Source organism: Homo sapiens, chromosome 16, assembly GCF_000001405.40.
Source record: "Homo sapiens chromosome 16, GRCh38.p14 Primary Assembly".
Taxonomy (NCBI): domain Eukaryota; kingdom Metazoa; phylum Chordata; class Mammalia; order Primates; family Hominidae; genus Homo; species Homo sapiens.
Window position 1 is genome coordinate 87,824,081 of NC_000016.10, and position 21,847 is coordinate 87,845,927.

General features: G+C 60.0%; 1 protein-coding gene, 1 long non-coding RNA gene and 1 other non-coding gene across 3 annotated transcripts in view, besides 10 other annotated features; 1 reads left to right on the top strand and 2 right to left on the bottom strand.

Annotated features, from left to right (window-relative positions):
• Positions 985-1,976: an enhancer, noted in NCBI's record as "H3K27ac-H3K4me1 hESC enhancer chr16:87858671-87859662 (GRCh37/hg19 assembly coordinates)". NCBI's record gives its function as "activates a minimal SCP1, AML or CMV promoter by ChIP-STARR-seq in primed H9 embryonic stem cells {active_cell/tissue: H9 hESC(primed)}" and the evidence as "EXISTENCE:reporter gene assay evidence [ECO:0000049][PMID:30033119]".
• Positions 3,934-4,523: an enhancer, noted in NCBI's record as "H3K4me1 hESC enhancer chr16:87861620-87862209 (GRCh37/hg19 assembly coordinates)". NCBI's record gives its function as "activates a minimal SCP1, AML or CMV promoter by ChIP-STARR-seq in naive H9 embryonic stem cells {active_cell/tissue: H9 hESC(naive)}" and the evidence as "EXISTENCE:reporter gene assay evidence [ECO:0000049][PMID:30033119]".
• Positions 4,532-4,601: a silencer, noted in NCBI's record as "silent region_7841". NCBI's record gives its function as "represses an Ori minimal core promoter by ATAC-STARR-seq in GM12878 lymphoblastoid cells {active_cell/tissue: GM12878}" and the evidence as "EXISTENCE:reporter gene assay evidence [ECO:0000049][PMID:35858748]".
• Positions 5,702-6,289: an enhancer, noted in NCBI's record as "H3K27ac-H3K4me1 hESC enhancer chr16:87863388-87863975 (GRCh37/hg19 assembly coordinates)". NCBI's record gives its function as "activates a minimal SCP1, AML or CMV promoter by ChIP-STARR-seq in naive H9 embryonic stem cells {active_cell/tissue: H9 hESC(naive)}" and the evidence as "EXISTENCE:reporter gene assay evidence [ECO:0000049][PMID:30033119]".
• SLC7A5 (solute carrier family 7 member 5) overlaps positions 5,943-21,847 on the bottom strand; it is a 39,485-nt gene continuing 23,580 nt past the window's right edge. Inside the window, exons 3-10 of the mRNA NM_003486.7 lie at positions 16,970-17,075; positions 16,349-16,393; positions 15,622-15,745; positions 14,634-14,737; positions 13,765-13,861; positions 12,418-12,567; positions 10,334-10,511; positions 5,943-8,945 (exon numbers count right to left, since the gene is read on the bottom strand). Of these exons, the coding sequence (NP_003477.4) occupies positions 8,890-8,945; positions 10,334-10,511; positions 12,418-12,567; positions 13,765-13,861; positions 14,634-14,737; positions 15,622-15,745; positions 16,349-16,393; positions 16,970-17,075 (860 nt within the window). The 3' untranslated portion in view covers positions 5,943-8,889. The remainder of the gene's footprint in view (positions 8,946-10,333; positions 10,512-12,417; positions 12,568-13,764; positions 13,862-14,633; positions 14,738-15,621; positions 15,746-16,348; positions 16,394-16,969; positions 17,076-21,847) is intronic.
• Positions 7,468-8,056: an enhancer, noted in NCBI's record as "H3K27ac-H3K4me1 hESC enhancer chr16:87865154-87865742 (GRCh37/hg19 assembly coordinates)". NCBI's record gives its function as "activates a minimal SCP1, AML or CMV promoter by ChIP-STARR-seq in naive H9 embryonic stem cells {active_cell/tissue: H9 hESC(naive)}" and the evidence as "EXISTENCE:reporter gene assay evidence [ECO:0000049][PMID:30033119]".
• Positions 9,951-10,505: an enhancer, noted in NCBI's record as "H3K4me1 hESC enhancer chr16:87867637-87868191 (GRCh37/hg19 assembly coordinates)". NCBI's record gives its function as "activates a minimal SCP1, AML or CMV promoter by ChIP-STARR-seq in primed H9 embryonic stem cells {active_cell/tissue: H9 hESC(primed)}" and the evidence as "EXISTENCE:reporter gene assay evidence [ECO:0000049][PMID:30033119]".
• Positions 10,512-10,580, bottom strand: MIR6775 (microRNA 6775). The gene has a single exon (NR_106833.1). It is a non-coding gene; the product is annotated as a microRNA 6775 (primary transcript).
• Positions 10,523-10,817: a silencer, noted in NCBI's record as "tiled region #5705; HepG2 Repressive non-DNase unmatched - State 17:Gen3', and K562 Repressive DNase matched - State 14:Gen5'". NCBI's record gives its function as "represses a minimal TATA promoter and a strong SV40 promoter by Sharpr-MPRA in HepG2 and K562 cells {active_cell/tissue: HepG2 | K562}" and the evidence as "EXISTENCE:reporter gene assay evidence [ECO:0000049][PMID:27701403]".
• SLC7A5-AS1 (SLC7A5 antisense RNA 1) lies at positions 12,185-13,607 on the top strand. Its single transcript, XR_007065175.1, has 2 exons — positions 12,185-12,722; positions 13,333-13,607. It is a non-coding gene; the product is annotated as an SLC7A5 antisense RNA 1 (long non-coding RNA).
• Positions 12,597-13,796: an enhancer, noted in NCBI's record as "BRD4-independent group 4 enhancer chr16:87870283-87871482 (GRCh37/hg19 assembly coordinates)". NCBI's record gives its function as "activates an origin of replication core promoter dependent on BRD2, P300/CBP, MED14 and CDK7 cofactors, and independent of BRD4, by STARR-seq in HCT116 cells {active_cell/tissue: HCT116}" and the evidence as "EXISTENCE:reporter gene assay evidence [ECO:0000049][PMID:35650434]".
• Positions 18,083-18,377: a silencer, noted in NCBI's record as "tiled region #2373; K562 Repressive non-DNase unmatched - State 17:Gen3'". NCBI's record gives its function as "represses a minimal TATA promoter and a strong SV40 promoter by Sharpr-MPRA in K562 cells {active_cell/tissue: K562}" and the evidence as "EXISTENCE:reporter gene assay evidence [ECO:0000049][PMID:27701403]".
• Positions 19,409-20,336: an enhancer, noted in NCBI's record as "H3K4me1 hESC enhancer chr16:87877095-87878022 (GRCh37/hg19 assembly coordinates)". NCBI's record gives its function as "activates a minimal SCP1, AML or CMV promoter by ChIP-STARR-seq in primed H9 embryonic stem cells {active_cell/tissue: H9 hESC(primed)}" and the evidence as "EXISTENCE:reporter gene assay evidence [ECO:0000049][PMID:30033119]".

A 21,847-nucleotide genomic window follows, 5' to 3' on the forward strand; every position in this document is an offset into this window, starting at 1 on the left:
GTCATCTGTGGTCTCAGTGGCAGGCGGGCAGTGCCAGAAGCCCCATCTCCATCCACTGTCTCCCCTCTGTGCTCTCCCAAGGCGTGGCCCCTCCCCCCACCATCTCACCATCTCTGCAGGGTTTCTGCTGAAGACCAAGGACTTACAGGCTCTTTAGAGGCCAGAGAGGCAACCTGTGTTTGGGACAGTTGGCGGGGACCCAGCCCAGGTGGGGAGTGACCAGAGGACACCCAGGCAGAGCCACTGCTCCCTTGGGGACTCCTGGGCCCCCTGCTCTTCCCAGGTGGGGAGTGAACAGAGGATTCCCAGGCAGAGCCACTGTTGCCTCTGGGGCTCCTGCACCCCTGCTCTGTCCAGATGTTGGCTTCCCACCCTGCCCGGGCTGGGACCCCTGTTCACCTCCCTCCGCTATTCCTGCAGCCTGTGAAGCCCATGCCCCGCGGTGGTTTTGGCTGACTCCAGGGCAGGGTTGCCTCCTCCTGTCCCAGGTGTGCAGCTCGCACGCACACAGCCGGCAAACACAGCGTGGTGAGCTCAGGAGGATTGTCTAGGATGCAGGAGTCACAGGAAGGGGTCCCAGCCTGCAGCCCACCCTCTTCTGCATCCCCCTCTTCCCACCACCGCCTTCTCCTCCCTCTGCTTTCCTCTGTCCTCCATCCTCCTCTGCACAGGAAGCCTCTCCAGGCCCGAAGGCAGAGTTGCTGGAGCTGTTGCTTGATTAGGGCCATGGCCCCCATCCCCTGGCCAGGGGAATTCTCTCTCCTCTCCCCGTTTTTCCTCCACACTTCCCTCTTCCCTCCCTGTTCTCTCCCTCTGAGCTGGGTTAGGCTGATGGGCTCCGAGCACAGAGGCAGAAGCATATTCATTTCGGTCCTCTCAGGGGCCAAGACCCTTTTACATCGGAGCTGGAGAACGCAGCCACCCGTGGGCTAGAGGAGGGGCCGGGGCGCCCCAGAACTGAGGCCCCCGCTTTCCAGGCCAATGCCCTCCTTCCTTCTGTTTCCCACCCTTTCCCACCCCGGGGGTTTAATGTGCGTCTCCATGCACTACTATCGGCAGTTCCCAGCAGGTCATAAGAGCTGCCCCGGAGTTCTGTCCAGTGGGACCTCACGGGGAGACGGGGTTCCAGCAAGGAGCTCTGAAGGAGGGCGAGGTAGCAGGAGAGGGCGGGCCATGGGGAGACCCGGGCTTTCTGCAATGAGGGGGCGGTGAGAGGATTGGTCACTGGTTCCTTTAGGAAGCCCTGCTTTCTTGGGGAGGGCGCACCTGACAGGTGGCTTCATTCGAATGTGTTTGGGGCTCCCGCCCCAACAAACGCACCCCCCTCATCCTCTCTCTGGGGGAGAGGGAGCTGCCACACACCATTCGTTTATGCCCGCCATCTCCCACGGTGCTCAAGGCATCGAAGCGCCAGTTGGAGGGAGGGCAGAGCTTGCTGGGTCCACCCGGGATGAGGCCGGGACATACACAGCCCCTTTCTTGGCCTCATCAATGATTCTCTGAGCTGTTTTTATCCCCACAGATCCATCAGAACAAAATACCTGTTGACTAGACTTGAGTTCAGCTCCTCTCCTTCCCGCAGGCCCTTAACCTGGACCCCCTCAGCCTGGGCCAGCCCGTGACTCCCCACCCCCTGAGACAGTGCTGGCCAGGGGAAGCTGATTTGTTGTCCCTGAGGCCACCCACCCCACCCCCGACACAAGAACAAAGAACAAGGTTGAATTCTTTCCAGCCTTGTTCACATCCCCCATAAAAGAAAACCTTTGGCCAGGCACCGTGGCTCATGGCTGGAATCCCAGCACTTGGGGAGGCTGAGGCCGGCAGGTCACTTGGGGCCAGGAGTTCAAGACCAGCCTGGCCAACATAGTGAAACCCCATCTCTACTAAAAATAAAAATTAAAAAAAGTAGCCAGGCATAGTGGTAAGTGCCCGTAATCCCAGCTACTCTGGAGGCTGAGGCAGGAGAATCACTGGAGCCCGGGTGGCGGAGGTTGCAGTGAGCTGAGATCACACCATTGCACTCCAGCTTGGGTGACAGAGTGAGACTCCATCTCAATTAAAAAAAAAAAAAAAAAAAAAAGGCCGGGCGCGGTGGCTCACGCCTGTAATCCCAGCACTTTGGGAGGCCTAGGCGGGTGGATCACGAGGTCAATAGATCGAGACCACCCTGGCTAACACGGTGAAACCCCATCTCTACTGAAAATACAAAAACAAAATTAGCCTGGCGTGGTGGCAGGCACCTGTAGTCCCAGCTACTCGGGAGGCTGAGGCAGGAGAATGGCGTGAACCCTGGAGGCGGAGCTTGCAGTGAGCCAAGATTGCGCCACTGCACTCCAGCCTGGGTGGCAAAGCAAGACTCCATCTCAAAAAAAAAAAAAAAGTCTGGATTGGCCAGGTGCTATGGCTCACACCTGTAGTCCCAGCACTTTGGGAACCCCCCAGGCAGGCAGATCACTTAAGCCCGGGAGTTTGAGACCAGCCTGCCTGGGCAACATAGCAAGACCCCATCTCTACAAAAAGTTAAAAAAAAATTAGCCAGGTGTGGCGGTGCACACCTGTAGTCTCAGCTACTCAGGAGGCTGAGGCAGGAGGATCACTTGACCCTGGGAGGTCGAGGCTGCAGTGAGCTGAGATTGCACCACTGCACTCCAGCCTGGGTGACAGAGTGAGACCCTGTCTCAAAGAAAAACAAAAAGTCTGGGTCGGGCTTTGATTTTGACATTCCCCTACCTGTGTCCACCTCCGTCGACAGGGCTGGACGTTGGTCCCTGCAGTGGCCTGGCCGGTCTCTGGGCACCCGTAACTGCTGCAGCCCAGAAGGGAGCCCCTCCCACCTTCCCGCAGACCTGCGCCCCACCCAAGGGGCCCGGCCGCCGCTCACTCGGGGCCCCCGAGCTGAGATGGGGTGCTGGCTTCATTTTTTTTCACCTCTTCCACAAATACTGACCAAGGCTTTTGTTCAACCAGACCCTGGAACTGGGGGACCCAGTGGGGGACAGGGCAGATGACCTGTCTTCAGGAACCTTCCCGGGGTGGGGGTGCACCCATGGGTGACTGCAAGAACGCTAACACCAGCACTGCGGGTGCAGACCGTGCTCTGGGGGGGGACAGGGGCTGGGTCAGGGCAGGCGTCTGACCATGAAGGGTGGCCTGGAGGGAGAGTGATCCAGGCTAAGTGGAAGGCAGTGGAAAGCCCCGGGACGGGGGCGGATGGGGGTGCGGGGCAGAGCTTCGGGGACTCCAGGGGCCCAGCCTGACTGGAAAAGGGAGATTGGGCAGGGCCAGGGCTGGTGGGGCTGCAGCTCTGTGGGGCGTCTGCATTTCTCTTCAAGGGCAGGAGGAGCTTTTCTGACTGGTGTTCGGCAGGGGACTGAGGGATGAAGAACAAATCAGGGTTTTTAAAGGAGTTGACTTGAAAAGGTTGCAGGCCGAGCGCGGTGGCTCACGCTTGTCATCCTAGCAGTTTGGGAGGCCTGTAATCCCAGCTACTCAGGAGGCTGAGGCAGGAGAATTGCTTGAACCTGGGAGGCAAAGGTTGCAGTGAGCTGAGATCATACCACTGCACTCCAGCCTGGGTGAGAGTGAGACTTCGTCTCAAAAAAAAAAAAAAAGGTTATTGCAGCACCGAGGACTATCGCAATGGGGGATCTCTGCTCCCACCACAGGGTCTACAAGGAGCTCCAGGGTTAGGCAAAGGCTTTTTGTTTTTTTTGAGACGGAGTTTCGCTCTTGTTGCCCAGGCTGGAGTGCAATGGTGCGATCTCTGCTAACTGCAACCTCCACCTCCTGGGTTCAAGCGATTCTCCTGCCCCAGTCTCCCAAGTAGCTGGGATTACAGATGCCCCCCACCATGCCTGGCTAATTTTTGTATTTTTAGTTGAGAAGGGGTTTCACCATGTTGGTCAGGCTGGTCTGGAACTCCTGACCTTAGGTGATCTGCCTGCCTTGGCCTCCCAAAGTGCTGGGATTACAGGTGTGAGCCACTGCACCCAGCCTGGGTTTTTTATTTTATGGGGGTGTGAACAAGGCTAGAATCTGTGTGGGGAGTTGGGCGCGGGGCCTGAGGGGCAGTAGATAGAGGGGTTCCCCGGGCCAGCCTGGTCTCAGGGAGTGGGAAGTCACAGGCTGGCCCAGGCTGAGGGGGTCCAGGTCCTGGGCCTAGGGGAGGGAGAGCAGCCGAGCTGGGTTTGGTCAGCAAGCATTTTGTTCTGATGGATCCCTGCCGGTCATCGGCGAGGTCAAGGGGACTCAGGGCCTGGGCTGGGCCTTGCCCTAGGTAGACCCGGGGTGGGGGCATCTCTGAGTCTCCCTCAAGTCACATGGGAAGAGGTTTCTCTGCACAAGCAGAACACAGGGGTCAGGGGTTTCTTAACCTTCACTGTTTCCAGGAGCCCAAGGCTCTTTGAGCTCCATGTTGGCACCAAGCATCTCGAAGGAGCCAGCTGGGCTGGGGGCCAGGCGGGCTGGCAGTCACTGAAATGCCACCTGGGAGGGCCGCCGAGGCTGAGGCTGCTCACCATGCTGGTAGCAGCACCTGCAGGGCTGGCTCACCTGTGGCTCCCAGCCCCACCCTCGGATATCACTCAGCAGGCCCCCAGGGAGTCCCCAGATGCTGGTGCAGGTGTGTTGGGGCCTGTCTCACCGGTGACCTCACATGGCCAGTGTCGGGGGTGGGGCAGCCTGTGAGTTCTCTCCTTCCTGTCCCTCGACAAGCCCACCCTAACGGTCAAGTCCGCAAAGGGGTACGCACCTGCCGCAGGGCCATCCAAGGTCCCCAGCTCCAAAAATTGCTTTCCAAATTCCAGCTCCCTTAGAGGGCAGCCAGTTCTCAATTGTGAGGGGGTGAGCTATTGGATTAATTTGCCTTTGAACAGCACTGAGAGGCCTGGGCCTCAACTTCCCAGTAGTGAAGACATTACTACAATGCGCCCGAATCCTTCCAGAACCCATGGGAGGTGGGTGGGCCCTTCCTGCCTGGGTGGTCAGAGTGGGGGGCTCACACAGATCCTGAGCCAGGGCTCTAGGTGACCCTGGTTGCTGCAAAGGTTCCCAGCTGCACCCCAGAATGCCCTGGTCCATCACTGGGCAAGGTCTCCCTAAAGAAAGGGCTGCGGGGAGGGGGGTGCCCAGCCTACTAGGGAAAAGCCGCCCAACCCCCAGTCCCAGGAGACCTGCAGCCAGGAGGCCTCTTTGCTAATACCCTGTGGAGCTGACTGCTCACTCCAGTGACTTTGTATTTCTGGAGCCCTCCCAGCTCCTCGCGGGACTCGGTGGCTCCAGGATAAGACTCAGACTATGGGGCCCACTCAGGGCCTGTCCCCCACCTCCCGTTCAGCTGGGACTGCGTGAGTCCTGCAGATAGGAGCAGCCTTCACTGGATCCAGGACGGAGCCCTATGGTTGCCTTCCCACCCCGTGCTGGGAGGTGGATGAGGGGCTCATGCTCTGAGCCCCGGACTCGCCCCCTTAACTGAGAGGCTCGGGAGTGTCCTGGGAACACAGAATCGGTGCCGCTTCCTCTCCTGCTCTGATCCCAGGCTGGAGAAAGGCTTCCTTCCTGACCTCCCAGGAGCTGGAGCCCCGCATCCTCTCAGCGGGTGACCCCCAAACCCCTCCCAACTTCACCCCTGCAGCTCCCTGGGACTGGAACCTTCCCCCTCCTCCCCGGTGGTCTCCACCTGAACATCCCTGCGCAGGCTGCCTGCCCCCCACTCCCGAGGCAGATCCGATATCTTGGCTCGGCACCCCCACCCTCGAGGGGTGCGTGCTCACATGTGTGCAACCCGCCCATGGCTCACCCCCACCCAGCGGCCTAAGTGGGCTGTCGGTGAATGAATGAATGAATGTGTGAAGGTGGGAAGGAATGAGGTGGCCAAGAGGGGGCCAGGAACGTTCCTATACACAGAACCTGGCGCAGAAGAAAAGAACACAGAACATCAGCGGTAGGATGATTGAGTGTTTCTTTAAAAATAAAAACCCCACAAAAAAGCCAGAACACCCTACCCAACCCAGCCCAGTGTAACAGGTTAGCCATTAACACAGAATAAAGAAGGTCCCAGCCACACACGTCATTACTCGGCAGAGGGTGTCCAGCCTGGTCGGCCGACGTCACAGTGGATGGCCCTGCGTGGCTGGGACACAGACAGGGAGCAGGCATGGCACCTGCGCCACGCAGAGCAGCAAGGCTGAGCATGACCACTGGAAATAAATAAACATGGTGCCGACAGCATCTTTAAATTAGTAAGACGTTAGCACAAAACAAAAAAGCACAACGACTGAAAATGCACTTGCTTGTTGTGGTGGGTTGTGCTTGAAAACACCTGAAGCCCACAAGTGGAAACCGCTGGGGACGTTTGTCAGTGGAGTGTGGAGAAAAAGGGACGGAAAAATCAAGTCTTCTGAGACAGTCCCCTGCGGTGGCCCTGGTCCCTGTGGAATTCCAGCACAGCAGGAGGGGGAGGGGGAAGCAGGCCTCAGTCAGCACCGCGGGACACGGCCCCTACCTTCTGAAGTGGGGTCCCCAGGCTGGAGTGGGGCACACAGCACCAAGGATCACAGACTGGACCCCCCACCAACCTTCTGCGGAGGAGCTCCCACCCCAGCTCAGACGCCCAGAAGAGACCTGCGCAGTGTGAAGACGGACCCCAGCGGCCCCAGCCATTTCACTAGCAGCTACTTTCCACAACAGACGCTGGCAGCCCCCATGCTCGCCCACAGCCGCAGCAGCCAACAGGCAAGTGCGTGCCGTCGAGAGGCCGCCGGCTCCCTGTATCCTTGAGGCATGTCCACGTCCCAGAGCAGGAGGTTGGAACAGAACGGCATCCCGAGGACCCCTAGCCGAGGCGGGAAGGTAAGAGGCTGACGTCGTGCGTGGGCCCCGCCGGCCCCAGTGGGAAGCAGTGGTGCGTGCCTCCAGGGAGCACTTCTCCTGGACCCGGGGCCGTGGCTGCCTACGATGTCCACTGCCTCCTGGATTCACACAGCAATGCACCAGGCAGGTGGGGCACCAGCTGCTGTCCTTATTTGCAGCCAAGAGAACAGGCCCAGAGGGAAGAGGTCTTGCCCAACACAGTCAGTCCACCTGCCTGCTGGTGGTCCTCGGCCTCCAGACCGTGGGCTGTCCCTTGGACGAGTGGAATTCGTCCCCAGGAAGGATGCAGGTCCTATGAGCAGACGCTGTGAAGTCTGTCCATGTGCAGCGGGAAGCAACGGGGCAGGGGTGAATAAAGGTCTTCATTCCTCAAGCAAGAGAGACGGACATCTGGTCCTGAGTCCCCAAACTGTTCATCAGGTTTCTCCGGGCCCACTGGATGGTGAGGGGGTCCCGGTGCCCAGGCGGGGGCGGCAGGCTCCACTGGGCACTTGCTGAGAGCTTGCGGCTTGAGCAGCCGCTGGTCAGTGAAGCCGTGTCCGGCTTCGTTGGCTCCCGGCTTGGGACACTCAGGGCTGTGCCACAGGCCAGCTCCTCCAGCCACAGCTGAGCACTGGAGTGACGCTGGACCACTTGGCTCCACCTCTGGCTGGGGAGAAGGGAAGCCCGGGGCCTGAGAAGGCAGAGCCCCCCGAGCTCAGGAGGGATCCTGCGGGGTCTTCTTGTTCTGGGGGTCCCTGGCTGCTGCCATGGAGGCAGCGACAGCTCAGGAAAGTGGGCCGCATTGGCCAGGCCTCGGCTGCCTCCCATAGCGAAAAAAATTCACGGGAACAACAGAAACAAGGGGTGCCCTAGTTCCCTCTCTGCAGGCGGGTGGGGACTGGGTGAGAGCCCAGGGGCCTCCAAACGCAGGCGGCAGAGACGTGAGCAGTGCTTGGCTCTGTCTCCTAGACAACGGGCATCAGGACCAGGACAGGACATGAGCGTGACAGGGAGAGCGGGGAGGTGCCTAGGCCGGGAGTGGGAACCCAGCACCGGCCAGAAGGGGCTGCCGGGCGGTACAGAGGCCAATGCATTGGAGGCTGAGGGTAGCTGCGACCTCTGGGGCAGGGGACACTGCTGTGTGGAGCCCAGGGTGGGCGCCCACATGGGTGCCTGGCCGCGGTGTGTCTGCCTTTCTTGTCTCTGTTTCTAGAAGACTGAAGGACAGGGCTTTGTCTGCATGAACCAGAACTCAGCCTCCAAAACTGGACACAGAAATAGCCAAGAGGCCACACTGCCCAGAGGCCAGGCCTGGTGAGCTAGGGGAGATGCCGGCACCCCCCAACCCTGGGGCTGTTCCCTGGCTCAGGATGGTGTCTCGGGGCTAGGATTATGGTCAGGAGTCCATCGGGGCCTCAAGCACCTCCTGGGAGGAATCACCCACCTTGCCCAGATCCCCCACCCCCTCCCAGTGCCACCCTACGGCTGAGTTTCCACTCTGCAAACCCTAAGGCAGAGACATAAGCCCACAGGGTTGGTTTTCACGAATGTCACAAGCCCATGTGTCTGGGCAGCTGTCCGGCTTCAGTGCAAGTCTGTGGTAGCAATGAGGTTCCAAGTCTCAGTAGCTCTGTTTGCCCAGGGTCTGGGCCCTTGGGGCAGGAGAAAGGAAGGCTCCTGCCTTCCCCCAGCTCCTTAAAAAATCATCTTAGTGGTGTCAAGTTGACCCAAAATTTAAGTTTAAAAAAAATATATATATAAGTAAACAAAGGAGGGAAGGGAAAAAGGGCCCAAGGAGACCAAAAGCTGCTCCTGGGCAGGAGCACAGGCACACCTGGGTCCCTGGCCCTCAGTTGAGGGATGAGATTCGTACCAGAGTTTTCACAGCAGCCTCCACTGCCCGACCTGGGAGGGACGGCGAGGGACTGGGATGGGCAGCTGAGCTGTGGGTTGCGGGGAACCGGAGTGGGTTCGAGGAGGTGATCTACTTTAACTGGCCTCTGCGCATGCTCCTCCGGCAGCCACTCGGCCTCCTGGCTATGTCTCCTGGGGGACCACCTGCATGAGCTTCTGACACAGGACGGTCGTGGAGACTGTCAGGAGAGAAGACAGCTGTGTTAGCCTGGGGGCTGGGTAGGCACCCGTGGGACACGGGGGCGTGAGCTGGGGCTCCCCCAGCCCTGCTGTCACCAAACCCAGCGCCGCTGCCCAGCGCTGGGATTTTAAGGAACCTTCCCTTGTGTACTTGCGCATGTGGGTGCCGGGTGCCCGAGGCGCTGTCTTCAACTGAAATGCGGAAGTGCCACATCCCACTCGGCCCACCCCTCGCCTGCTTCAGAACCCTGGGGAGGCAGAGTGCGGCCCCTGGGGCACACGAACCAGGCCCTGGTGTCTCAGCAAAGTGCAACGGGGGGATGACAGGCCTTCCTGCAGGTCCACACCCGGGCCACCACCTGGACACATGCCTGGACTGTTCACAGCAGGCAGGGCCGGAGGGGCCAATCTGCTAACGGGTCCTCGGAAGACCTGTCGCGCCTGGGACTGTCTACAGAGACATCACTCTGTGGAGGGGGACTGCTTTCAGGATAGAGACGGGGGTTTGCTTTAAGCTCTTGGTGTCCTGAATGACAGTTAATGCAGATCCCACTGCAAAGCTTGAGGCAAATGTTCTACCATGACCCTGGCGGTGATCAGAGTGTGGGGTAGGGGTGGGGGGTCTCCCTGCCTGTGTTGCTGCCATCCCGGGAATTCTCCAAGCCACCCAGTGACATGGGGATCAGCATGTAGGCCCGCAAGCACCCCGGCCTTTTTCTACGAGCCTGGCCACATTTGCAGGCGCTGAGGACGGGGTCCTGAGCTTGGTGACAAAGCACCCCTGGGGCTGCCGCTGCACACAGGGCCGGGGGGCGGGTTTCTCCTTCTGCCTTTTTTTTTTTTTTTGAGAAGAGTCTCGCTCTGTCGCCCAGGCTGGAGTGCAATGGTGCGATCTCGGCTCACTGCAACCTCCGTCTCCCGGGTTCAAGTGATTCTCCTGCCTCAGCCTCCTGAGTAGCTGGGATTACAGGTGTGTGCCACTACACCCAGCTGATCTGTGTATTTTTAGTAGAGACAGAGTTTCACCATGTTGGCCAGGCTGGTCTTGAACTCCTGACCTCAAGTGATCCGCCTGCCTCTGCCTCTTTCTGCCTTTCTGGGTAAGTCTGCTGTGTCCGCTGGTGGCAGCCAGCAGGATTTTGTTACTTGGCAGCAGTAGCCTGGTTTTCCGGAATCCCTCGTCCTGAGAGATTAGCTGGTGCTGCGCTGTGTGTCTTATCCCTGAACCATGTGGGCTGCGTGTCACTGGCGGACACTGCAGTGACCTGAACCCTCCTGCCACCCAACACGCTTCGCCCCATGTGGGTGGAGACGGCCGACGCCTCTCAACTCCCTTCGCTGCCCAGGGCAGAGGGTACCACGGGCTGTGGGCCAGCGAGATACTCACAGATGCCCTGGAGGAGCCACTTGGGCTTGTTTTTCCACCAGACCCCGAAGAAGTAGACGGGCAGCCCGCTGAGGATGATGGTGAAGCCGATGCCACACTCCACGGGTGTCTTCCAGAAGGAGACGGCGATCAGGAAGAGGCAGGCCAGGATGAAGAACACAGGCAGGGCCAGGTTCACCTGGGGCAGAGGACAGGGCCTGGGTGAGCCCTCTCCTGTCCAGCCTCCCTCCCCCATGCCCCGAGGTTCCTCAGCCCTCCTGGGCCCTCCACACCCACGGCTGCTGACTTCCAGGTCACCAAGATGCGATCTGCACTCCATCTGCCTCACACACCGGGCTGTCCCGCCCTCGACTCTGCATACAGTGCTGGGCATGTTGCCAGGGGCTCAGGCGGCTTATGATGAGGGATGGAAGGAGACAGCTTCGTCTCCCGAGGCCTCCCACGGGCAGGGAAGGTCACGGCTCCATTCCCACATCACAGGCCTGGAAACCCTGAGCCGCCAGGACGCACAGGGGCCTGATGCTTCCAGGAGACAGTGGCCACCCACTAATAAGCCAGGAGACCACCCTCTTGGAGACGCCGCTGTGGACAGCGCTGAGCAAAAGCCCATCCCTGAAGCTGCAGCCTAAACTGTCACCTTCAGCAGATGAGCTCCACCCGGCACAGAAGCCAGGCAGGGCTGCAAGGAGCCTGCAGGCCGCAACCTGCGGCTCGGCATGGCTGGGGGATTGACTCAGCTGTCCTGAATCCATACTTGGACAGGGCACCCTGGGAGATGCAGGGCTGACCACAGGTCCCAGCCCATCAGTGTGGGCTGCATGACTGCCCTGTCCCCAGGGAACAGACGCCAACCCGTGCCCAGGCTCACAACAGTGGGTAGAGCCTACCCCATGCCCAGGTCCCCATGGGGGCTGAGCCCCCGCTGTGCGCAGTGACTGCCCTGTGCCCTAGGCACTGCCCCAGGCTGGCACAGCAGGCACAAGCTGGTGCCCATGTAGGGCGGCTCCTCCCTGCCCTCTGCAGCCTTCTCTTGGGGCAGCATCTGGGTTCTTGTGCTGACTGTATTTTAAAGCCCCTGTTTTTTTTGTTTGTTTGAGACGGAGTCTCACTCTGTCGTCCAGGCTGGAGTACAGTGGCGCGACCTCGGCCTCCCAGGTTCATGCCATTCTCCTGCCTCCACCTCCCGAGTAGCTGCAACTATAGGCGCCCGCCACCACGCCCAGCTAATTTTTTTGTATTTTTAGTAGAGACGGGGTTTCACCGTGTTAGCCAGGATGGTCTCTATCTCCTGACTTTGTGATCTGCCCGCCTCGGCCTCCCAAAGTGCTGGGATTACAGGCGTGAGCCACCGCGCCCAGCCTAAAGCCCGTTCAACAGCATTCACAGGCACCCCCGGGGCCCCCAGGCTTCGGGAACACAGAGGGAGAGATGGTCCGGGCAGGGAAGCAGGGGCTACTGTGACAGCCATAGGCCAGCTGAGTGACAAAAGCTGCTGGCTAGCAGCCACCAGGGGCTCTGGCCTCTTGTTCTGTGTCAGGGCCAGGGCGGCGGGACTTGCTGGGCCCCAGGCAAGAGCATGGCCTCTGCTGGACGGCCCCGTTTTTGGAGAAGGCAGCCCACGGATAACAGCTACCCCTCTGAATGAGCCGCTGGGGACGGGGAGAGTCCAGGAGAGTCCAGCTGGGCCCAGGCGCTCCTCGGGCCGGGTTCCCTGCATTCCTCCTGCCAGCACAGCCCCGACGGCCCTTTGAATGCTGCGCCAGGCCCGGCTCTGCCCCGCCCCTGCCGGGGCTCACCACCGCCCACCTATGACTGCAGTGTCCTTATCTGCTTCCCTCCACCCAACGGAGCACAAGCTCTGTGCCATCTGCTGTCCTTTGAGGAACCCCGGCTCCTGCAGTCACACTTGGCACCCTCGTAGCTGGTGGTCAAGTCATCACCGGAATTAGTCGACCCAGGTGCATGCAGGCAGGGGCAGGTCCAGAGGCTGAGCTGGGATGCTGGCTCCCAACTCAGGGTCCTTAGGACCCACGGACCCTGCCTCTGTGAAGGGTGCCTGGGTGAGCGGGAGGCCCCGGGCTCACCTTGATGGGCCGCTCAAGCTCAGGCTTTCTGTGGCGCAGCCAGATCATGCCGATGATGGCCAGGGCCACGCAGAGCCAGTTGAAGAAGCTGAAGAAGTTGATGACGGAGAAGATGTCCTTGGAGAAGGCGTAGAGCAGCGTCATCACACACTGGAAGAGAGAGGCGGCTGGCTGAGCCCTGGGGCCCACGAGCAGGGCTGTGGACGGCCGTGGTGGCCACCGGGGACTGTCCAGCCTGGCTGGGCCCAGCTGAGCACCAGGGAATTTTGTTTTAAAGGAGAAACCTCATCTGAGCAACATGCAAGGTCTTGAAGGAGGAAAGGAGGGAAGGAGGGAGGAGAGGAGGAGGGAAGAGGCGGGGAGGAGGGAAGGAGGGAGGAGAGGAGGGAAGGAGGGAGGAGAGGAGGAAATGGAGACCACATTTGGGTTAAGGACAGGTGAAGAACACAGTGTACATACACAGCTGGGCTCTGCTGGACTGTGGCTCTGTGTGCGAGGGCCACAACCTGACCTAACCCAGTGGTCACCAAGAAAACAGTTTCTGTAACCCCCGGCACAGCCGTGCTCCCGAGGACCGTGCAGCTGCCAAAGAGTCCAGGACTTGCTGCCCTTCCTGACTGGCTTCTAACTCAGGGAAGGAGTAGTAAGCAAGGGCCAGGACCTCTGAGGCCAGCCCACAGCTGCCAGACCCCAGCTTCCTCTGCTGTATCTCACTGGCTTTGGGGGAAGCAGCCTGTTGGGGGAGCCCAGTGTGCTCAGGGGTGGGGCCTGCAGCCCACAGCCCTGGAGGAAGCCACTGTGGAGTGGCCTCTCCAGCCCTGGTCACACCCTACGATGAGAACACAGCTTCAGGCACCAGCTCCCTGAATTCCTGACTTACGGAAACTGTGAGATAATAAGTGCTTTTCCTTTTAGAACACTACATTTTGGAGTGATGTGTGACACAGCCAGAGGGAACAAAGGCAGTCACGCGGGCTGGCACGGAAAGATGCAGGAGAAGCGGAAGGAAACTGTGTGTGATGCACCCCGCTGAGAAACGAACAGAGTGGGCGCCCACGGAGGTGCAGTGAGCCAGGCGGCTGGCAGAGCAGCACCCCGGGTCAGCTTCTGCCTCCCGCATTTCCGATGGTCTGAATCGTTTGTGGCAGCCACCATATATTATTTTTGGAATAAAATCTAAAGCCCCTCCAGCGCTCTCTGGCATTCAGCGGAGCTCGGCAGGAGGCCACATTTGAGCTGTCACCCAGTCCACACCCCAGACAGAGCTGCAAGCTGTGGCAGCCTCCCTCTGGGAGCCCCCGGACAACCCCCAGGGATGTAGGGCACAGGGCCGTGCAGCAGGCTTACCGTGAACACGAGGGACGGCACGGGGGTGAGGAGCTGTGGGTGGATCATGGAGAGGATGGAGGGCAGGTGGCCTTCCCGGGACCCCACGAAGAAGAGCCTGTGGACAGACAAGAGTGGCAGAGTCAGCCACCGCCCCACAACTCAGCACGTGGACAGGGGACACGCAGGCTGGGGAGTGGCAGGGCCTGTGCCTGGCTTGTCTGGGCCTCTCTGGCCACAGTGGGAACCAGGCCCCTCCAGCCGCTGGCTGTGGGCCTCTCAGTTCCCCCAACCAACTCGGCAAGGACAGCAACTTGGGAGCCACTGCTCACTCCAGCCCGGGGGGTCAAGCGGCGGCCACAGGGCATCTAGGACACCACAGCTGTGTCACCTCCAGGCAGGAGTGGGGAGGCGAGGGCCAAAGTTCATGCTTCCTTTATTTCTGTATTATTTGGGCTTGCTGCTGCCTTTTTTTTTTTTTTTTTTTTGAGATGGTCTCACTTTGTCACCCAGGCTGGAGTGCAGTGGCACCATCTCGGCTCACTGCAGTCTCAATCTTCTGGTCTCAAGCAATCCTTCGACCTCAGCCCCCCAAGTAGCTGGGACTACGGGCACGTGCCACCACGCCTGGCTAATTTTTGTATATTTTTGTAGAAACGGGGTTTTGCCATATTGCTCAGGCTGGTCTCGAACTCCTGAGCTCAAGCGATCTGCTCACCTCGGCCTCCTAAAGTGCTGGGATTACAGGTATGAGCCACCATGCCTGGCCTATTTGAGCAATTATGCATCCCCAGTATCACAGAGACAAACCTTTTACAGACATGGAACATGTTGAACCTGGCCATGAGGCCTGGGCCTCCCTCACCTGTGGTGGGTCGGGCTGTGCTCACCTGGAGGATGTGAACAGGGACCCATTGACGGAGCCGAAGCAGGACAGGCCCACGAAGACGGGGATGATCCAGGACATGACGCCCAGGTGATAGTTCCCGAAGTCCTAGGCAGGCACAACCAGTGAGCTGGGCCCCACCGGGCCGGCCCTCGCCCTCCCTGTGCTCACTGGGAGCCCTCTGCACCGGGCCAGCCCTCGCCCTCTGTGCTCACAAGAGCCCTCTGCAGAGGACCTCTCAGGCTGGATTCTGGCCTCTGGGGGGACTTCCCAGGACAGGGCTTTCCAGTGACCCCTGCCCAGCCTGCTTGTTGGGGAGCCCTTGCTGGTCCTGATTTGCCCCCTCCTCTGGGACTCCCTGGAGCAAGCTACGGCCTGCAGGTGGGGATCTTGCCTTCCCCCGTGGGGTCCTCCACAGGCTCAGCACGGTGCCCTGCCGGCAGCGGGCTGGGAGTCAGAGCTTGTTCAGTAGGAAGCTGGCCAGAGCACCCACTCCCTGTTCCCCCAGCCCTGGGAGGGCAGTGGGAGAAGCCTCGGGAACTGCGAGGCCAGCCTGGCTGAGCTGCCCGGTGACACCGCCCGGGCCTGGCCTCCCGCCTGCCAAGCCAGCAGCAGCCGTGCCTTCTAACGAACCCCACTCTGTGGCAGACTCCAATCTTTCTGTACTCAGATTTAAAATGACCTCTGCCCTGGACTCCCCAGGCATTCTGGCTTATAGCTGGTTCTGGGTGTGGCTTGGTATCAGATTTTAAACCCTTCTCCCCTTTGACTCCCCCAGCAGCTGAGCTTGAGGATGATCCCCAGACACTTCCTCTGCGGTCGCTGTGAGGGGAGACCACCACTCCACCCCTCCGGGTAGGGGAGGCTTAGAGACGCGGGGCCCCCTCTGCGTAGGGGAGGCTTAGAGATGTGGGGCACCACTCCGGTCTGGAAGGGACGGGCTGGCCACAGCCTCTCAGGCCCCTGGTGGAAGCTGGCGGGTAGCGGCTCACCACGGCCACGGCCTCGGACGACAGCATCTGCTCGGTGGACAGGGTGGTGAAGTAGGCCAGGTTGGTCAGCACGTACACCAGCGTCACGATGGGCAGGGAGATGATGATGGCCAGGGGCAGGTTTCTGGAAAGAACAGGGACGACATGTCACCCAACGCAGCCCGGGCTGAAGGCCAAACCCTGTGCCCAGGAGCCAGGTGGGCTCCTCGCAAGCAGTAGCTCCAGCCTCTGTGCTGGGCTTCTCGGGGAAGGTGGGAAGCAGCAAGAGAACACAGGCTGGCGGCAGGAGGCTGTGCCTGGAGCGGGACACTGCACAGCCCTGGCTGGTGCCTTGGCCGCGGCCTCAGCTTCCCCACCTGAGAAATGGGGATTCTTCGGGGTGACCTCAAGGGCTCAGGAGAGTTAAGTCAGGCCACCTGGTCTGAATTCTAAGGCTCTGCCCACGAGCTGCACAGCCGGGGACCAGAGCCGAGAGCCCAGGCAGCTCCTCTGTACCGTCCCGCCCTGAGTGGGGCCCTCACTTGCCACCCGTTCTCTGGAGAAACCGTGCTCAAGGACACACGGCCAGAAGCCACCCGCCCCACATCCTGCTGGCCCCAGAGGCCCCAATCACGGCCCGACTGTGAACTGGCCTGAGCCGACCAACAGGCTTCGAGTGGAATGTGGCTGCTTCCTGCCTCACATTAAAATAATGAAAAAAGACGGCTCCATCCATTCTTGCACGTACCTGTAGGGGTTGATCATTTCCTCTGTGACGAAATTCAAGTAATTCCTAAAATTTAGAGAACAGCGTTCAAATTATATGATCCTCATCAGGGAAAATAAATCACCGGGGAGAGAGCATCCCAGGGCAGCTGGTGAGCCTGCCCCCCGGTGGTCTGCTCGCTGGGCTGGAAAGCGGACCTGGAGTGGGAGGGAGCTCAGCCTCCTGCGTGTTCCGGGGGGTCCCTGCTACCCCTTCCAGGCCCTCCCGCACATTCCCTGCCTGTTCGCCCTACTGGGGTGATTCTCAGGTCCCTGTGAGGCCCGCCTGAGCGCAGGAGTCAGGCTGGGGACCTGGAGGAAAGGGGCCGCAGGGCTCAGCCGCCTCCACCTGCCACCTTCGCCAAGACTGCGACGTGGAGCTAGAGCCAGAGTAGGGCTGCAGCGGGCGGCCTCCCCACGCTTCGTCGGGATGTGGGTGACTCTGGAGGGTCACCTGCCACTCTTTAACTGCCAAGGGGCAGTTAAAGGGAGGGGCAGTCCACTCCCTTTAACTGCCCCTTGATGGCTGGGAGATTTGGGATTCCTGGACACGTCAGGGACTGTATGTCCCCAGACCAAGGGACCCAGACATTCCAGAACCTACCATCCTCCATAGGCAAAGAGGCCGCTGTATAATGCCAGCACAATGTTCCCCACATCCAGTTTGGTGCCTTCAAATGAGAAGTTGGGATCTAGATTGGACACATCACCTGGCAGGGCCAAAGAAAGGAATGCTGGGTTAGAGAGCGCTGAACAGAGGTCATGCTACCAGTTCTAGAATGTTCCTGGAGCAAAATACATAGCAAACAAAAATGCTGGAGTGAAGGCTTTTCACTGTGACAAATGGTATGTACCTGCTGAGCCACATGGAGGGTGCAGGGTTCCAACCACAACCAGGGGGATGTGGCCCTGCCAGAGGCCCTGTGCCCACCTGAGAGGGCACAGGCAGTTCTGACCACTGCCCAGGAGGGCTCCTCAGACGCTTGTCTACAGGAGGTCAGGATGGAGGGGTCAACCAGCCCCAGTTGCCTTCAAGAAGGTTCCCTGAGACCTCACGACATGAGTGTCAAGGCAGTATAAAGCCAGGAGACCTCGGTTTGCATCCTGGCTACGGCAACAAGGAAGGCCCAGAGCCACTAGGGCCCTGCTTCTTGGGGTGCGAGGAGCTCGGAACAGACTGCCCTCCCTCCAGGGCTGGCAGGACAGGCCTGGGCAAGAACATAGGTTTGTCCTGGACCGTGCTGAGTGTGTGGCCAGCTGCAGCCGGGGCAGGGGCAGGAGCAGGGCTGCCAGGGCCGAGAACGATCCCCGTGCTGTGTGCAGAGCTCTCTCCTTTGCCCTCTGAGGACACGCGTCACTGGACTTCGTGACTGCTCCACCCTATTCCAGAAGGACCTCATTTCAAAACTTGAACTTCAGTCACATCTGCGAAGACCCTTTTTCCAAATAAGGCCACCAGCATTCACAGGTTCCCCAGGAGGACATGTCTTTTGGGGGAAGGGGTGTCTCCGGAAGGTCACGTGGCTGCTGGGACAGCACTGGCCCTTTCTGTGGCTGTTGCCTCCTCTGTGAAATGGGCCTGGTGTGTTCGAGCCCGGAATATATTGCCCAGACATCAGTCTCACAGACCACTGCGCTTCAGGAAGGAGAACTTGGAAAGAAGACCAAAGACACCACCGGAACAAAGGAGCCGGGTCCCCTCCTGCCTACCTGCCAGGTGCATATACAGCTGGAGGCACAAGTGGAAATCTTGGTCAGGCTGTGGACTGTTAGTTCATTAGAGAACCGTGTGTGACAGTATCCTTCCTGCTGGAAAGTCACCAGCCCGTCTCACAGGGCCAGGCAGGGACGGGCCCTGGGGCTGCTGTGTCCCAACATGTGGCCTTGGACCACAGGTCACCATGGGGGCCCAAGAAGGGGAACCACCTTGGTGGTCCAGGGAACACCGCAGAGTGACGAGGTGAGCAAATTTCAAAGGGGACCCGTGAAGGGAGGTTCCCATAAGACCTTGGCAATTACCCCAAACAAAGTGCGCACTTCAAAGGTGGCACCAGATTTCCTACGGCAGAGCCCACGGTGGGGTCCCTTCCTGATGGGTGGACCCAGTTCCTGTTTTGCACCTGCTTCCCCGTGGCGTGCTGGATGCCTGCGGCTCTGCCTCCAGCTCTGTCTGTCCCAGATGCCAGGTGTGCTGGGGCCTTTGATCTTCAGCCTACACTGGGGGTGCTGGTGGGTTCCCTGAGGGCTGCCCGCCACCCTGCCCTGCTGAGGCCTTGATCTCCTGAGAAGGAGCTCCAGGGCCCACTGCCTGCGTGTGATGTATTCTGGTCACCAGGTGGTCAGCAGGCGGAGCTTGACTCTGCAGGCCTGGAGCGGGGGCAGCTCAGAGCAGCTCAGGACAGGGCACTTTGCACAGCACCTCGGCACAGCCCCTCTGGCCTCTCTCCCATCTGCTCTCTGATGGAATGTTCTGGAATGTGCAGACCCTTCACATCTGCATAGCCCTACTGTGTCTCGCCCACTTACTTCTGCTGGGGGGAGCATCTGTCCTACAAGTGGGGGAATGCAGACCTGCCAGGCTGCTTGAGAATCAAGGTCCTGCCTCCCCCATCTGGCACTCATGGTGGGAGGGGGTGAAGGTGAGCCCTGGAGGCCAGAAACACGTGCCCCATTCACTGTGACCACCCCCGGACTCAGCCTGAGCTGATGGACAGGAGGCCTCAGTCCAAGGTCCCCGCCAGACACATCAATCCTCATAGCTGACCTCCAGCCTCATGACAGAAAGGCGGCTGATCCTACACAGAGGGTGGCTGCTTTTGCTAAGGACAATATACCGAGGCTTGACATGGTATGAGGTCTTCAGTCAGGAGCCAGATATTGGCAGCCCTAAGGCCTGAGTAACTTTTTTTTTTTTTTTTTTTTTTTTTTTTTTTTTTTTTTTGAGACAGAGTTCCACCACGCTTGGCTAATTTTTGTATTTTTAGTAGAGATGGGGTTTCACCATGTTGGCCAGGCTGGTCCAGCTCTGCTTAAGGGTGGCCTGGAGGGCTGCAGGAGGGACCTGCTTGCAGCCCAGGGCAGCTGGACACAGGGAGGTCACCACACTCATCCAGTGACTCCACGCTACACACAGGGGAGAGACACACCAGAGGTGGGAGTTAGACAGCGTTCAAACCCTGGGGGCAGCACCCCTGTACCTCTCAGCATGACCAGCGGGCATTCTGCACACCGGGAGACCTGGGCTGTCACGACGGCGGGGTGCGGCGCTACTGGCACGGAGCAGGAGGCCGGGGATGCTGCTGGATGTCCTGCAATGCACGGGACACCCCCACACAACAGAGAGCCCACGGTGGCAGAGGTGCCAGGCTGAGGCCCTGTGCAAGAAGACCATGACAAGGCATCAGCCACGAGCCTCTACCCCTGCCGGGAGGACAGGACCAGCTCCTCTCAGCTTTCTCTCCCATGGACCCTAGACTCGGGCGTGGTCCTGGCTTCGACATGAAGCCCCAGGCACTGGGCAGGACTGGAAGGAATGGCTGAGCGGCCCACTCATCCAGCAGCCACCCAGCCTCCACACCTGACAGTCTGCTATCCAGTCAGCCTCCACCCACAAGGAGGGGACAGCGTGACAGGGAAGTGAGGAAGAGAATCACCGTGGACAGACGGTGACATCTGCCAGAGCCCACAGAGACGCGAGAACAGACTCAGCGCAGAGCCTGAGTGGGGCCCTCCAGCCCCTTCCTTGTCCCTAAGAGGCATCTTCCTCAGGGGCTGGTGGAGCTGCCATGAAAGCAAACGCACAGCCAAACCCCGGGTGGGGGGAAGGCAAACTGCAAACGCCGCGGCGACCCCGGCACAGCAGCCCTGTCAGCAGGATTCCCCCGAGAGCGGGGTAATTGCGGTGGGAACGAGCGCTCCAAAGGCCCTGGGGAGATGATTTCAGGGAAAAGTGGCCTTGATCCCTGAGTCAGGCAGATGCGGCCATGGGAACCATCCACCCCGAGGCTGGAGGGGAGACTCCGCCGGTGGCTAAAGCCATCCTGCTGACGGGGCCCAGGGACGCCCCCAGTGGCCAAACGCACGTGGGAACGGGATCTTCCCCCTCCTCTGTGATGCGGCCAACCCTCCAAGCCTCTGGCTCCTGACTCAGAGGACGATGTCTCCCCATGAACGCAGTGTCCCTGGAGAGAAGAGCCTGCCCAGCGTGGGGAACATGGGAATGTGGAGATGGAGGGCATCCCGGAACCTCAGGGCTGACGGGCCCCTGCCCCAGCCCTGGAAACACCTCAGGGACAAGAGAGTCACTCCTCAAGCGCGGACTTTCCACTGTGCTGGGGCCTTCCGCCTTCCAACCACTCTGGCCCCTTGGGGCTCTAGGTGGAGTGTGCTGAACAGTGTCCCCAAAATTCACGTCCAGTGGAGCTGCGGGATGTGTCCTAGCTGCAAATGCGGTCTCCGCAGGTGCAATTAGCGAAGGACCTTGAGATGAGATCATCCCGGATTAGAGTAGGCACTAAGGCCGACGACAAGTGTCCTCAGCGACACAGAGACAGATCCAGGGGAGACAGAGCCAGAGCCAGCCCAGGATGCCTGGAGCCACGGGCAGCTGGAAGGGGAAGGTGGCACCTTGGGTCTGGACCTCTGGCTGCCAGGACCAGGACCGTCTGCATGTCTGTTGCTAAAGCCAGTCTGTAGGCATCTGTCACCACACATGAGGGGCCAACCGTGCCACCCAGGGGAGACCTCCCGGCTTCTCAGTGCATCAGGCATGGTCAGGGGCAGGACAGCTGCAGCTCACACCCCACTTCTCAGTCACCAGCCGAGTGCACAGCCAATGGCACCTCATCTAAGAGGGGGCTGTGAGTCCCATGTGGTCAGCACCCTGGAGCTAGCTGCCCTGTGGGCTCAGGGAAGTCGTGCAGTGACCGCCACATGGGTTCAGTCCAGAGCCCAGGCCAGAGTCCATGCCCACCCCACAGAGTCCACGCCCACCCCAGAGTCCATGCCCACTCCAGGCAGAGTCCACGCCCACCCCACAGAGTCCACGCCCACCCCAGAGTCCATGCCCACTCCAGGCAGAGTCCACGCCCACCCCACGGAGTCCACGCCCACCCTAGGCCACGGCGCCGCTTTTCAGATGCCTGTTTCGCTCTGGCCATCTAATGCCTGGGAACCGTGATGGGGCAGGAATTTGGGTTTGGGGGTTCTGGCGGCAACCAGATGGCACTTTTGGACCACCAGCAGTGTCTGTCGGTCTTGGAAACTCATGAAGGAGTGGGCCCTTTGCTTAGAGCTGCCAACCTCACACCAGAAGTAAAAGCTTTTTCCAACTCCACAGGCGGGGAAAGACCCTGAGAACTGTCCCCAGCACAGGGCTGTGGCTGCCCTGGCCTCTGTCCATGCGTCTGACGAAGGGCACCGGGAGGTGAAGGCCGCGGGAAAACAAGCCCCGCTCCCGTCCTTTGATTCTGTCCCAGCACAC